The sequence below is a fragment of the Homo sapiens genome, chromosome 5 (assembly GCF_000001405.40).
Source record: "Homo sapiens chromosome 5, GRCh38.p14 Primary Assembly".
Lineage (NCBI taxonomy): Eukaryota > Metazoa > Chordata > Mammalia > Primates > Hominidae > Homo > Homo sapiens.
Window position 1 is genome coordinate 2,139,606 of NC_000005.10, and position 15,708 is coordinate 2,155,313.

Genomic DNA, 15,708 nt, shown 5'->3' on the forward strand with positions numbered 1-15,708 from the left:
ATGTGGGGCAGGGCATTCAGGCTAGGGCATGACACACACCAAGGACCAGGCACTAGTCAGTGTCGCCCTTCCAGGCTCATGACTGGGGCACAGGGTGGGACAGAAGAGAACTGGGCCCTCCCATGGGGGCCGGACCTTCCCTAGGTTCCCACCCACTGAGGACTCCTGGGGGGCTCCTAGCCCTGCATCTGCAGCTTACTCAGTGTCAGCAATTCATCTGATTCCCACTCGAAATGTTTCTGAGGCAGAAAATCATCATTGGGTGCTTTTCCAAGACTTTACAAAATCAAATGCAGGAGGAAAAATAATCAAACCTATTGTTTGTAGTTACGATACTTGAACAAATAATTTGCTCTACCCAGTCTTCAATTTCATTGAAGTCTTCAACCCAAGTACTCACTGGATGCTGTCAATGGACGTGTCTGGATCATAGGGACAGAGCCGTGGAAAATGAAACACACACATACAACACACACACACTCTCTCTCTCTCTCTCTCTCCCCAAAGCACTCCCCTTGCCCCAAGTTTACATTCTAATTCCCAGGAGGGACAATATTGCATCTTATTGGATCCAGTATTTAAACCTTGAATTCACGTTTTCAGTACTTTGTTTTATTAACCCTGAGAGGCATGTAATTTAGACGCAAAAGCATTTCATTTTTAAGATGCTTGGGGGCCCAGCCATGGTGGCTCACACCTGTAATCCCAGTAGTTTGGGAGGCTGAGGCGGGCAGATCACCTGAAGTCAGGAGTTTGAGACCAGCCTGACCAACATGGTGAAACCCCGTCTCTACTAAAAATACACACACACACACACACACACACACACACACACACACATTAGCCGGGCATGGTGGCGCATGCATGTAATCCCAGCTACTTGGGAGACTGAGGCAGGAGAATTGCTTGAACCTGGGAAGCGGAGGTTGGAGTGAGCCGAGATCACGCGATTGCACTCCAGCCTGGGCAACAAGAGTGAAACTCTGTCAAAAAAAAAAAAAAAATGCTTGGATGAGCTGAAAGTTCTCCCATTTCTTGTTAGGACCACATCAACCCCACATCCCGGTCCTGGGCTGGCGGTTCCCTGCCTTGGGACAAACGGGCTCTGGGCACTCTCTCTGCTTCCCGAAGCGGACGGACACGGACTTCCGAACCCCCTTGGAGCACGCCTGGGAAGAGGAAAGGTGGGTCCGAGTCCTTTCCTTCCCTCCTCTCGCCCCCTCCCTTTTATTTTCCAAACAAGCTAAGAGTTTTTATAATCCATCACCTGTCTGACAGATGAGTCCTGCTGGAGAATATTAGAAAATGTCTCAAATCTCATATATATGCTAATGGTATGCCGAGGCTGGTCTGTGTGCGGAGTTTTTAATCTGTCTCGGCCAGTGTGGGAAGTGGCAGAGACAAGTCGCAGCACTCGACAATTTATGATCAAACAACGAAATTGTAAAGGAAGAAGGACGTGCAGAAAGGGGGAGTAATTTTCTGATTTAACAGCGTTGTTACTACAAATAAAGAAATCTTGATTTTGACTGCTCTCGACATTAAATGAGTTTCCTGTGCCCGGTGCTGAATTTTTCATTTTCAGGTTTGTATAAAGCACCCTGCTTAGATACAAGTGACAGATAAGGAAACGATTGCATATGGAAATCAAATGTGTATAATAAAGCCATCTTCTGTTTATTAAATAAACACATGTAGATTACTTCTGCGGAGGAGGCCCTGATAATTCTTCACTGTGTTTTCCTTTTTTTGCAAGTCACAAAGAATCTTATTTAACAACCGGGAATGCTAGACGTGAGCTCTTCTGTGTATTAAGGTCCCGCAGTCCAGGGCGCCCGTATCTGAATTTGGGGCTGACGCTTTTCTCTTGCTCCGCAGCCCCTTCGTCCACTGTGTTATTCGGTACATCCTCGTGGGCACTGTAGTAATTTGGAAGTGCACCACTAAGTCACAGTTGGCTAAAATTTACATTAGGGAAATGGCAGGAGCGGGCCAGTAGGAATAGGGGCAGGGCCGTTTTCTGAAGCATGCAGGGTGCTGAGCCCGGCTGTGGCGTGGGATCTCCACCTTTTGGGAAGGCAATACACAGAAAAGCATTTGTGTGGTCATGTATGGAACCACCCCAGGCTGGACGGCCCCAGCTCCCATCTGCCTCAGAGGCGGAGGCCTTGTTGTCCCCATAACCCCAGGAGGGGGCACCTGGGTGGTGGGCACATCCAGTCGGGGGCACAGGGTCACACGCTACGGCCTGGGAGCTGGCATTCTGGGCGTTAGGTCCCACAGCGTGGGCGTGGGCCGTTTGCACATCCTCTTCATGTCCGGGCTCCTTGTGCGGATGAGCAGATGGAGGCAGGATGCTCAGTGTTCTGTTCCCACTTTAATGAGTTAGCATCTGAAACCGGGGCTGGGAATGAGGCACGGGTGGCTGTAGGGGTAGGATGCTTACAGGGGATGAAATCAGTGGATGAAGCACAGGTTGGGCAGGAGCACCCAGGCCTGTGGAGTGTGGAGTCCCCCTCATCCAGGTCGGTTTGGAACACTGATCTGGAAGGCTCAGGACCTCAAATCAGCCGTGCAATGGAGAACATTTTACGCCGATGTTGTAATTTTTATTTACATTACATTACTGCTGTGTTTGGATCTTAATTTTACATTTCTTTTGTAAGCTATTATTCTAGGCAAAACCATTCTTATTGTATAGCTCTAATGTGGTGCTAGAGGCGTTTAACAGTGTTAGCTTTTATTTTTGAAGAAAGAAGAAATTGCCACTTTAATCTACTACAAAGTGAAAGCACATGCACGTGTTAAAACAGACACCTAGCGAAAGCGGGTGTGTGAGGGTGTGTGTGGGTGTGCATGCTTATTTAAAAAGTCCTTCTTTGTTTCTGAGCTGAGGAAGCACAACTAAGAGTGTTGAGCAGCTTTTTTTGTTTGTTTGCTATTTGAGGACGGAAGGTGACATTTCCTCTGGACATTCCCATCTTGCCGATGTCGCTGGCATGGGGACACCAGGCTGCCTAACAGAGAGGCCGTGGTGAGAGCTGCATGGCAGGGGAGGACCACCACATCAGTGCTTTCCCACGCCTTTCCCGCCTCAGGTTTTGAAGCCACTCTGGAATCTGCGAGGCTCCGAGTGTGGCTGGGTTCTGATGTCCCGGCACCCCCGGCAATCACCTTCTTCCCTGTGTGTTTTCTGCAATTCCGTCAGCTGCAGCCTGGATGCAGACAGGAGTGGGCTTGGGGAGCTCCAGCTTCCGGGGATGGAGCTCCATGCTAAAATCACAGCTTTCAGAAAGGGGTGCTAACGATTTTTCTCCTGCCAAAATGTTCAGACAATAATGCAGCAAACATGGGATTCAGCTCTTTCCTGCCCCAGCTCGGTGCACCTACCTTGTGGGCGTCACTCAAAACAAGGGTGAGCTACAGAGGGAGCCTCAGCTCTGGACTGGAGCCCCTGGGGACCTACAGGCAGCCCCAGACCCTCATTCCTCCACATCTGAGTCTCCTCCCTAAGTGGAGAATCCACAAACCATCCTCATAGAATGTTCTGGTGTCCACGTGCGGAGCGTTTCCCCCATGCCAGGCCCCTACATGCACTGAGGTTTGCTCTGTCGCCATGCACTGAGGTTCCTGGGAGTGTTGTGAGGCTGAGCTGAACCAGGGCAGAATCATACTTCAACGACCGGCCGGGCACCGTGCAGTGGCCGATGGGAACCACAGCCTCACACCCACGCCCGCTCCTCCCCTTTCTTTTTTCTAAGTTATTTTTTGTTTTAAAAATAACATTTGTTGAATATTTAAATATTAGGGAAAAGCATAATGATAAAAATAAGAGCACACTAATATCTGCAGGTGTAAATACAAATATTTCTTCTATTTTTCCATGTAAAAAATGTAAACATATAAGCATTATAGAAGTTAGAACATGCCCAATTTAAACATTTCTGTCATTTATTTCATTGAACTTTATGAGTGCCATTTTATTGTTTTATAATTATAAATTATACATTTATAATTTAAAATACTGTTTTAAAGTAATTATATAACACCTAAGTGCCTGAATATTCCATAATTTTTTTAGCCACCTCTACATTTTTAGATTCAATTCTTTATCTTTTTTTTTTTTTTCTGTCAGTGATGAACACTCTTGTGTCTCCTCAGCCCTGCACCTTGCCCGGCCCCTCAGATCTGAGTGCTTGACCCCCACAGACCCATGTTCAGAGCTGGCGAGCTCCACCCAGAGCACGGAAGCCTTGCTCCGAGACCTCGGCACCCGCCCATGCATCACTCAATCTGCTTAAACCACCTGCTCTTCGTTTGTAGCAAAGTGACTTCTTTGAAGGGTCAGAATGGGTGGCATTTCACAATGTGGAAGCCATGAAGCACTGCCACAACAGATATTCTGGTGGAAAGGCCTCTCCCCACCACTCTGACCCTGGAAGGAGATGGAGTAATCGACCTGGGAAGATCCTTGAGTGGCACCTGTGATCTCACACTGACGGCTACTGAATCCGGGGCTCACCCCTCCTTCCGACCATCAGGTGACCCACAGGAGGGCTGCCTGAGAGACAATGGCTGTCCTTGAAGCCTGCAGGCCATAGATGGTGCTATAAGAAAAGCAGCCAGCAGAGCCCTGTTTGCTGTTTGTTTATAGAGATATAACCTACGTGCAAGTGGCTATTCTAGGATTCAACATGAGCAGCTCATTTCCTTGGGAAGCCACTGGGTGACAGAGAACCAGGTGACAGTCTTCTGAGGCCACAGGTGCTGATCCCACCAATGCACCCCACCTCCCTCTCCCTCAACAGACACATTCCAGCGAGAGTGCACCTGCCCAGGATCATGTATGAGCAATCATGACTCGGCTGTTGTGTGGCACAGAGGAGGGTTTTAACCTCACGCCCACACGTGTTGGATTTCTCCAAATCTCTCCATGCTGCCCGGCTGGGGTTCTCCTCCATCCCACGCCAGGACACCTCACCTGGTCAGCAGCCCTGTTCCACCCACAGGCTCTGAATCTCTTCTCCTTTTTGAGTGGAGCAGGTTATGGAGTCCTAGCATGCATGTGCACAGCCAGGTGTTCAGAAAAAGCCCAACCCTGGAAGGAGATGGAGTAACAGACCCGGGAGGACAAAGAGAAGTGCAAGCCCAGCAAAAGGAGGCAAACCCAGAGTCCCTCCGCAAAACCACCTCTCGGAGAAGGCTCCCTCTGTGAGGCTGGAGAAAATCCCTTTGCAAAACCACCTATGGTAGGAGGCTCCCTACATGAGGCTGGAGTATGCCCGTGGCTTCCTCAGCCCTGCACCACCACGTGGTTTGAGAATGCCGGGCTGAGAAGCTCTGGCACCACAGGTTGTCCAGCCACAGCAGTTGCAAGCTGTCTCATAGGTTGATGCCCCAACCTGGACTTCAGCCTCTAGAAGAAGATGTTTATAGATTTATAAACTCAACTGTTAGTCCATCTGGTGGCTATAACAGAATATGTAGGCCAAGTAGCTGATAAATAATGGAAATTTATTGCCCACAGCTCTGGAGGATGAGAAGCCCAAGATGAAATCATCCAGCAGACTTGCAGTCTGGTGAGGTCCCACTTTCTGGTTCATAGTGGAAGGAGCCAGGGATGCCTCTGGGGCCTCTGGTTTAAGGGCACTAATCCCATTCAGGAGGGCTGCACCCTGACGACCTAATCACTTCCAGATCCTCCACCTCCTCACCGTCACGACCTAATCACTTCCAGATCCTCCACCTCCTCACCATCACGACCTAATCACTTCCAGATCCTCCACCTTGTCACCAAAACGACCTAATCAATTCCAGATCCTCCACCTCCTCACCATCACGACCTAATCACTTCCAGATCCTCCACCTCCTCACCATCACGACCTAATCACGTCCAGAGCCTCCACCTCCTCACCATCATGACCTAATCATTTCCAGATCCTCCACCTCCTCACCATCACGACCTAATCACTTCCAGATCCTCCACCTCCTCACCATCACGACCTAATCACTTCCAGATCCTCCACCTCCTCACCATCACGACCTAATCACTTCCAGATCCTCCACCTCCTCACCATCACGACCTAATCACTTCCCGGATCCTCCACCTCCTCACCATCACGACCTAATCACTTCCCGGATCCTCCACCTCCTCACCGTCACGACCTAATCACTTCCCGGATCCTCCACCTACTCACCATCACGACCTAATCACTTCCAGATCCTCCACCTCCTCACCATCACGACCTAATCACTTCCAGATCCTCCACCTCCTCACCATCACGACCTAATCACTTCCAGATCCTCCACCTCCTCACCATCACGACCTAATCACTTCCCAGATCCTCCACCTCCTCACCATCACGACCTAATCACTTCCCAGGTCCTCCACCTCCTCACCATCACGACCTAAGCACTTCCCGGATCCTCCACCTACTCACGATCACGACCTAATCACTTCCCAGATCCTCCACCTCCTGACCATCACGACCTAATCACTTCCAGATCCTCCACCTCGTCACCATCACGACATAATCACTTCCAGATCCTCCACCTCCTCACCATCACGACATAATCACTTCCAGATCCTCCACCTCCTCACCATCACGACCTAATCACTTCCAGATCCTCCACCTCCTCACCATCACGACCTAATCACTTCCAGATCCTCCACCTCCTCACCATCACGACCTAATCACTTCCAGATCCTCCACCTCCTCACCATCACGACCTAATCACTTCCAGATCCTCAACCTCCTCACCATCACGACCTAATCACTTCCAGATCCTCCACCTCCTCACCATCACCACCTAATCACTTCCAGATCCTCCACCTCCTCACCATCACGACCTAATCACTTCCCAGAGCCTCCACCTCCTCACCATCACGACCTAATCACTTCCAGATCCTCCACCTCCTCACCGTCACGACCTAATCACTTCCCAGAGCCTCCACCTCCTCACCATCACGACCTAATCACTTCCAGATCCTCCACCTCCTCACCATCACGACCTAATCACTTCCAGATCCTCTACTTCCTCACCATCATGAGCTAATCACTTCCAGATCCTCCATCTCCTCACCATCACTACCTAATCACTTCCCAGAGCCTCCACCTCCTCACCATCACGACCTAATCACTTCCCAGATCCTCCACCTCCTCACCATCACGACCTAATCACTTCCCAGATCCTCCACCTCCTCGCCATCACGACCTAATCACTTCCAGATCCTCCACCTCCTCACCATCACGACCTAATCACTTCCCAGATCCTCCACCTCCTCACCATCACGACCTAATCACTTCCAGATCCTCCACCTCCTCACCATCACCACCTAATCACTTCCAGATCCTCCACCTCCTCACCATCAGGACCTGATCACTTCCAGATCCTCCACCTCCTCACCATCATGACCTAATCACTTCCCAGAGCCTCCACCTCCTCACCATCATGTTGGGGATTCGGATTTCAACACATGGATTTGGGGAGGGGTGAACACATGCAGCCCATTGCATTAACACATCCCAGAGTAAACTTGTTGTCTTTTCCACAAACCTCTTCTCTTTCTGGTGCTGAGTTTTCTTGGTGAGAGGATGAGAGGAACTACCCCTGCAGAGCATGTGCGTGCCCCAAGTCAGCTGGAGTTGGCCTTGACTGTGTCTCCTATTCCACACGCCATGTCCGCAGAACCACATCCTTCTATGTCTCTTCCCTGATGAGGCTCAGCCCACTCCCGCTGAACCATCCCTCCAAACGCCACCTTCTCAACTCTCACCTGGGTCCCCACATCACCACTGCACCTGTTTCTCAGCCCCAGTGCCACCAAGGCTCAGCTCCTAGAATCTTCTCAATGACTTTTTTTTTTTTTTTTGAGATGGACTCTTGCTCTGTCACCCAGAATGGAGTGCAATCTAGGCTCCCTGCTACCTCTGCCTCCCAGGTTCCAGTGATTTTCCTGTCTTAGCCTCCCAAGTAGCTGGGATTACAGACTAATTTTTGTATTTTTAGTAGAGACAGGGTTTCACCATGTTGGCCTAGCTGGTCTCGAACTCCTGACCTCGGCCCGCCTTGGCCTACCAAAGTGCTGGGATTACAGGTTTGAGCCACCGCGCCTGGCCTCATTGCTGTGGCTCTGAGCCCCACCTCCTGAACTACAGGAGACTTTAATTCTCCCATTCATTTCCTCCCCAGGATTTACACGACCCTCAGGTTTGCAGGAACAGCCCACACCTGGGGCAGTCCCAGTTGCTTGGCTGAAAAGCCTGGCCTCCCCTGAAGAGCCCATCACCCCCTCCTCTTCCTCCTGCTGTCACCCTCTGCTCTGTGCCACTTCCTGCTGGGTGCCCAGGATATCCAGGGCATTCCACTGCACTTCTGTGCAGGGGTGCCGCAGGGTTTAGTGGGCTAATCCCATTGTGAAGGGCAGTTTGGCATCCCCAACCCTGGCCATTCCCAGTTATCCTGAGGTCAGACAACCTGCGTATTTGCAAACATCCCAGGTCTGCCACACTGCTCACACCATGAGTTCACCCTCAGCATGTTGGTGCCCCCTTCCACGTCACAACCTCAGGGTAGGGCCTTGGAGGCGCCCCCAACTGGTCCTTGACCGGCAGCAGAGGCTGTTGCTGTCTCCCAATACCCATTCTCACCAAGAGGGACTGGGCCGTGTTCCCAAGCTCGAGCCACCAGCCCCAGCTTTCCAGCTGCAGGTGAGAGACTGTGGCCAGGTTCTGGCAGACGGGCCGTGGTTTCAGCCTGAGTGTCCTCACTGTGTCCCTTCTGCTGGTGACAGGAGGGAGAACACAGATGCGATTGTGTGCTGAGGGTGTCGCCACCCTGGCAGAAGGGCTTGGGGGTTTTGACCTGCCCTGCTGGCCCCCGCCCTGGCCTACCTGCGCCAGGTTTTGGGCGAGGGAAAGCCGCCCTCCCTTATTGGACCCTGCTTGTTCAGGTTTTCCCACAGCAGCTGGGCTCTGTGGACACCTGGCCCACCTTTCACCCCAGTTTGCTCCAAGCCTATACCCAGGCTTTTCCTTTGTCTTGCCCCAAGCAGGATTCACAGCAGATGACTAACAGGGGGTACACAGAGGATGGGGGTACACACAACAGTTGCCCCAAGTCTCATGACCCGAACCCTCCAGGGAAGTGTGTCCTCTCCCTCTCCTTGGTGGCAGCACAAGGACATGTGCTCCAGGTCGTGGGATGTGGACATGTACGAAGGCCACAGATGGGGTTTCTCTAGAGGGCCAGTTGACCAGCACTCCCTGCCCCTGCCCCATCTGTGGTCCACGAGTGGCCAGAGACCATCTAGTGTGCAAATGTGACACCAGGAGCATCTTCAGCACATCCTTCTGGCCTTCCTGGTCTGGGCCTGGCCCTCAGCAGCTGCACTTCTGCCCCCCTGCACCCTGCAGAGACATCAGATCGGACAATAATCTGTTTGGCAATTATACCTACAACTGTGTTACTTGCTGTTTCAAGACTGAACAGACATCATCTTTAAGCATTTTTTAAAGTCTGATTTTTTTGTGACGCTCTCAGGAAGAAAGACTCCACTGCTGCTGTGGCATTGTGAGGTGGTCATTGTCCCTCCTCCCGATACAGGTGGGAGATGGATGTGACACAGCCCCTCATCGGGCCGCTCTGCTGCAGTGAAGCTGTGCCTCCGTTTGCCGGGTGGCCTCTGCGTGGCTGACTCATTGGCTTCTTTCAGGATGAGTCACTCGGGCACTACCCAGCCACCGAGTGAGCAGCTGGAAGCCCGGGGTTAAGTGTTATTGACTTCAGAGCAGCAGCAGCGTGATCGGGTTTCAAGCTAGTTCCCATTGAATTAATTTTTGTGGATCGGTGTTTGAAGTTTGGGTGGGAATAATTGGCCTGGGAGAGACTCCTTGCATCCTTGCCGGGTAATGAAGCTGGAGGCAGGCGTGCGCCCCCTCTCAAGAGACAGGCTTGGTGTTGAAGTCTTTTTTGGTTACTAGACCACCTGGAGTCTCCAACTGTAGCCAGCGGGAGACAGGTCCGCGGATGGGCAGGTGGACACGGCGTTTCTGGGTCCCAGCTATGCATGTGAGGCTCAGGGCTCCTGCTGACCTCTGCCCTGCCTGGGAGACACCTGCCTCCTTGGACTCCCAGTGAGTCCAGAGCCTCTGGGTTTGTGCTGGGAGCTTGAGGGCAGAGGCTGTGGCCAGAACTGCGTGAAATTCCTCTCCTCACACACCATGGACCTCCTTGACCTGCAAGCACCCAGTGTCCTCTGGAGAATGCACCACAGAGAAGCCAGTTCATTGTGGCTTCTTGTTTTTGTTTTTCTTAATTTTCATTCTTTGCTGCTTTTAGGGTCAGCATTGGTTTTTACTGATGTTCGACAATGTCAGGGACAGGTTCTCTCTCCTTCCTCATGTAAAATGAGGGTTTCTTTATTAGGGACTTGGGGACTACCTCCCAGGAGCCAGCCTTTCCCTGGCCTTGGGGGTACCAGACTCCCTGGCCACTCGGGAAATAGCCCATGGCAGAGTCAGGGTCCATATGACAGGTGATGTTTCTGCAACGGTAACACAGCCCACCTCGCGAGGCTGATGGGAGAATCAGAGGAGCTCACGTACAGGAGAGTCCTCTGTCACCTGGAGGGCTGTGTGGGTCCTCATCATTGCCTTTGTCATTGAAGCCCTCACCACTACCCCTGTGGGGGAGATGTGCATTTGCAGGAGAACCTTGCAGAGCATCAGATGCATGGAGTGTATCAGGATCTCAGGAGACGCCAAAGAAACACGGACACGGTGTCCGATGGCCCATCTGTGCCCCCTTCTCCACTATTTGCAAAGATTAAATGACAGGCAACCATCTTTGAAACATGCATTGAATGGGCTGTTTAGGAGTTGAACATTTTCTAATTGAAAAGACTCATCTCTCTACGGAAGAGGTGTATTACTCTGTTCACGCTGCTGATACATACATACCTGAGACTGGGTAATTTATAAGGAAAAAGAGGTTTAATGAACTCACAGTTCTACATGACTGGGGAGGCCTCACAATCATGGCAGAAGGTGAAAGTCGCTTCTTATGTAGCGGGGGCAAGAGAGAGAATGAGAGCCAAGCGAAAGAGGTTTCCCCTGATAAAACCATCAGATCTCGTGAGACTTATTCACTGGCATAACAGTATGGGGAACAACACCCCCATGATTCAATTATCTCCCACTAGGTCCCTCCCACAACGCATGGGAATTGTGGGAGCTACAACTCCAGATGAGATTTGGGTGGGGACACAGCCAAACCAGATCAAGGGTCTTGCTGGCTCGGATGCGACTCTGCTCTGTCTGTTCCCTGAGTTTTAAATCAGCCGTCCTGTGGTTTGTGCACAGCTGAGGGTCTTCATGCAGCAGCCCAGGCTGCCTCCTGGGCAGGGTCAGGGTCAGGGCAGTGGGAGGGGGATCTGAGCACTGGAGATGCCTGCGTAACCCATGCAGGCCATGGGAAGTGCCCCGCATGGCGCCTTGTTGGGCACCTGAAGGCCCAAGCCAGAAACTCCCGCTGGACTCGGGGGCCTGCCGGTCAATGCTTGAAGAAAGGGGCTTTGGGAAGCCCACTGCCACCCAGGCCCCTTGTGCCCACAAATCCTGATTGTTCTGGTAACTGCTCCCTGGAACTTCAGTCCACAGGAAATATCTACCTTGTATGTCTATTTTATTGCTTTCAAGATCCAATTTTAAAGCCAGTGCCATACTAACCTTCTGCGTTTTGATTTCCTTGTCTGTTGCCTCACCTGGCCAGGAAGGGAGACTCCAACTGAAGACGCCTGCCCTGGCCCCCGGTTCTGGGCCCAGACCCCTACCAGGTACCGGAAGAGCAGAAACCCAGGGTTCTGCTGCCCGAGGGGGACTAGCGACATCTAGTGGTAACATCACCCAACTACAGCCACTTGTTTCCTGGGTTCCAGAACCTCAGGGTCACTCAACAATTTACCCGGTGCCACATATGTTTATTACAGCACTATTCACAATAGCAAAGACATGGAATCAACCCAAATGTCCATCAATGATAGACTGGATAAAGAAACTGTGGTACATATACACCATGAAATACTATACAGCCATAAAAAGGAGTGAGATCATGTCCTTTGCAGGGACATGGATGGAGCTGGAAGCCATCATCCTCAGCAAACTAACACGGGAACAGAAAACCAAACACCACATGTTCTCACTCACAAATGGGAACTGAACAATGAGAACACATGCACACAGGGAGGGTAACAACACACACAGGGCCCTGTTGGGGAGCTGGGGAAAGGGAGAGCATCAGTATAAATAGCTAATGCATGCCAGGGTTCATACCTAGGTGATGGATTGACAGGTGCAGCAAACCACCATGGCACACGTTTACCGGTGTAACAAACCTGCAAATGTATCCCAGAACTTAAAATAAAGTAATAATAATAATAATTCAACAGGTGCTGTGCTGGGGCTTTGAGCCTGGGCAGATATTGGTCCTCACAATCTTATTTTTACCCTTCCCTTATAAGCTAGAGATTTACAAATGTTTCAGAAAGAAGCTTTGAGATTGTTCAGTCCAACCCCTTATCATGCCTGACTCCAGGCTATGGAGTCCACACTGGGTGCCTCCCAGTCTCCGTGGACTCCTTCAGTGGCAGCAGACTCACCTGAAGATCTCGTCCCCATCTCACAGAGTGGTGTCGAGGCTGGGGAGGGTCTTGGACCATTTACACTCTCATTGCACAGATGGAAGATGGACCATTTACACTCTCATTGCACAGATGGAAGATGGACCATTTACACTCTCATTGCACAGATGGAAGATGGACCATTTACACTCTCACTGCACAGATGGAAGATGGACCATTTACATTCTCACTGCACAGATGGAAGATGGACCATTTACACTCTCACTGCACAGATGGAAGATGGACCATTTGCACTCTCACTGCACAGATGGAAGATGGACCATTTACACTCTCACTGCACAGATGGAAGATGGACCATTTGCACTCTCACTGCACAGATGGAAGACTGAAGAGTCAATGGGAGTGGAGATTTGGTCATACTCAGTGGATTTGTGGCTAAGCCAGGCTGAACCTGAGTTCTCCTTGATATTAGCCTATAGTTCTTTCCTCCAGCAATATATAGTAAAATATTAGAACCTTCCTTTTCTTCTTCCTTTCGTCTCTCCCTCCATCTCTCCCTCTTTTTTCTCTCTCCCTTCACCCCTCCCTCCCTTCTTTTCTCCCTCCATCCCTTTCTTCTTCCTTCTCTCCCTTCCTCTCTTCTTACCTCTTCTCCTTCCCTCCCTCTCTTCTTCTGTCTCTCCTTCCCTTTCTCCTTACATCTTTCTTCCCTTTTTCAACAACTACCTCCTGACTTCCCATTTTACGAACCCCTACAGACACTGCATAGAGTGAATGTGAACCATCGCAGGGACCTGGGACCTGGCATTCCTGTGGGGAACCAGTCAATGCAGAAACAATCAGAGGGTTCCTCCCCCACTGCCCCATCCACCAAAAAAAAAAAAAAAAAAAAAAAAAAGGCAGGAGGCCATGAGGAAGGTGATGGCATCATCACATTCATGGTTAAAAGGGGCAGAACTCAACATGAACTGGTTTGAACAAACAAAGAGAATGGCTGGTGGCCTGGGGAGCCCAGGATGGTGGGCTTGGGCACCCAGACTCTGACATTAGGGCCATTTTTGTCTGTCTTGTGGCTCGGCCTCTGTCTCCCAGTTGGCACTTTCTTTCCCACTCAGGATGCTGCTTGTGAGCAGTGAGGGAGGACTGGGCACCACCCTGGTGGGCACAGCCACAGACACAGCAGGTGGGCCATGCCTCCAGGTACACCAGAGGAAAGTGAACTCACCTCTCCTAAACCTGCATATCAGATCCCGGGGAAATCAGTAGGGCTGGCGGGCCTTCTAGGTCCACCTGGAACCTCGACTGTGGCAGGCCTTCAAGATGCATCCAGGCCACTGCCAGCACTGCAGCCAGGGGGTATGCGCAGCCCTGCCAGGAACCATGGGGGCATGAGGAGGGAAAGCCGTCTGCTGGCAGAGAGGATGCTGGACAGATGCAAAGACCAGTCCCATCTTGGGGCTTCAGAAAGAACTTCTAACCAAAGGCAGTCGGATCCAAGACCTGAATAAAGTTGTCTCAGTCAAGAGAAAAGGGTGCAAGGTGGAAAACAGTGATCCAGCGATGGGAATGGCACACATCAGAGCTAGGAGAATAGTGGGCCAGCGATGGGAACGGCACACATCAGAGCTAGGAGAATAGTGGGCCAGCGATGGGAGCGGCACACATCACAGCGAGGAGAATAGTGATCCAGCGACTGGAACGGCACACATCACAGTGAGGAGAATAGTAGTCCAACAACAGGAACAGCACACACCACAGCGAGGAGGGCCGAGGGCACATTCCGACCACGTGCAGGAGGCCGGTGGGCCGGGAACTCACCCAGAGCTGTATGTGGGGAGGTGGGAGAGACAGGCTGGATGGGGCAACAGGAGCTTGACTGCGGCCTTTCTAGTCTGTATTACCCATTTGGGACTTTATTCACAGGGTGACTTGGGGTGTGGACAGGCTTTAAGCACAAGCAGGATCTGTTTTTACTTTGATCTGGTGAAGATCATTGTGGTCACCACGTGAGTGGAGGGACCCCGGCAGTAGGTAGGAGAGTTAAGAGGCTGTTGTGACAATCAGAATAGAAATGACGGTCATGGCACCAAGGTGTTGGCTGGAATTCAAGTCAAATAATACGGTCGTGATTACTTTGAACCCATTTCAGGGCCAGAGAACTCAGGATGCAGATGGCTCAGGCCTTCCAGAGGTATTTCATCTCTTTTGGCCTCAATTTCCTTGTATGAATTGAGAGCATTAGAATTGATAATTTCAAATATTCTTTTTTTCTAAAATTTTTAAATTTCATACTCTATATTCAACAATAAGAAAAGGCCCTTGCTCTTCTATCCAGAAAGCAGGTGTTAATAGAAATGAATGTGTGATTCTGTTCTTTCTTGTTGGTCAGGCCTCTTCTGGCCTTTCTGGAGAAGATACTAAAATAACATTTCAACATTAGTTGCACATCAATTCCTTTGTATTAAAATATCCATAATATAATCAATGTCCAAATTATTTAACTCTACACATCTCAAAGCAACTCTTCATGCAGAAACATCCAAACAAGTTTAATCCCTCATCTCTGGACCTCCTCACACAGGGGGTTGATGATGCCCTCAGACCCTGCTCCCGCGTCAAGACCCCAATTACTCCGTAGCCGAAGCCATTTGCCCAGAGCCAGGTGGTTCCTGCGGTTAGAGTCAATATTTGCCCAGCACTGGAGTATGCAATCGTGACCTGCACCCACTGTTTAAGAGGCAAATGGCAAGCAATGAATTTTGAATGGGTGAGGAGGGAGAGAGCCTGATCTGCATTTACTTACGAGCTTTGGAAGTGCAAGATGTATACTCTGAGTTCTAACTTCTTAGATTAAATGTTGGCTTTTTAAATCAAAAGTAAGCAAATCCTATGTAATATGCCTGCCATATATTTATTACAACGTTCTTCAGAAGCAATTTCCATACTGATATGCTGTTGCCGGGATTATTATTAAAGAGGTAAGAAAAATGGAGAGCCGGAGATCAAGATTAGATTTTTTCAGAGATGGAATGACAAAATGAATGGGGCATTAGGAGAACATTACCAAA

At 50.4% G+C, this 15,708-nt stretch overlaps 6 annotated features.

Annotated features, from left to right (window-relative positions):
* Positions 4,296–4,829: an enhancer, noted in NCBI's record as "NANOG hESC enhancer chr5:2144015-2144548 (GRCh37/hg19 assembly coordinates)". NCBI's record gives its function as "activates a minimal SCP1, AML or CMV promoter by ChIP-STARR-seq in naive H9 embryonic stem cells {active_cell/tissue: H9 hESC(naive)}" and the evidence as "EXISTENCE:reporter gene assay evidence [ECO:0000049][PMID:30033119]".
* Positions 5,474–5,975: an enhancer, noted in NCBI's record as "H3K27ac hESC enhancer chr5:2145193-2145694 (GRCh37/hg19 assembly coordinates)". NCBI's record gives its function as "activates a minimal SCP1, AML or CMV promoter by ChIP-STARR-seq in primed H9 embryonic stem cells {active_cell/tissue: H9 hESC(primed)}" and the evidence as "EXISTENCE:reporter gene assay evidence [ECO:0000049][PMID:30033119]".
* Positions 5,976–6,475: an enhancer, noted in NCBI's record as "H3K27ac hESC enhancer chr5:2145695-2146194 (GRCh37/hg19 assembly coordinates)". NCBI's record gives its function as "activates a minimal SCP1, AML or CMV promoter by ChIP-STARR-seq in primed H9 embryonic stem cells {active_cell/tissue: H9 hESC(primed)}" and the evidence as "EXISTENCE:reporter gene assay evidence [ECO:0000049][PMID:30033119]".
* Positions 7,170–7,669: an enhancer, noted in NCBI's record as "H3K27ac hESC enhancer chr5:2146889-2147388 (GRCh37/hg19 assembly coordinates)". NCBI's record gives its function as "activates a minimal SCP1, AML or CMV promoter by ChIP-STARR-seq in naive H9 embryonic stem cells {active_cell/tissue: H9 hESC(naive)}" and the evidence as "EXISTENCE:reporter gene assay evidence [ECO:0000049][PMID:30033119]".
* Positions 13,752–13,921: an enhancer, noted in NCBI's record as "experimental_83887 CRE fragment used in MPRA reporter constructs". NCBI's record gives its function as "activates a minimal promoter by MPRAs in K562 erythroleukemia cells, with activity observed for the introgressed 5:2153556 or rs72643721 variant allele {active_cell/tissue: K562}" and the evidence as "EXISTENCE:reporter gene assay evidence [ECO:0000049][PMID:34662402]".
* Position 13,837: a transcriptional cis regulatory region, noted in NCBI's record as "Neanderthal adaptively introgressed variant 5:2153556 (GRCh37/hg19 assembly coordinates) or rs72643721 in the experimental_83887 CRE". NCBI's record gives its function as "modulates activity of the experimental_83887 enhancer by MPRAs in K562 erythroleukemia cells {active_cell/tissue: K562}" and the evidence as "EXISTENCE:reporter gene assay evidence [ECO:0000049][PMID:34662402]".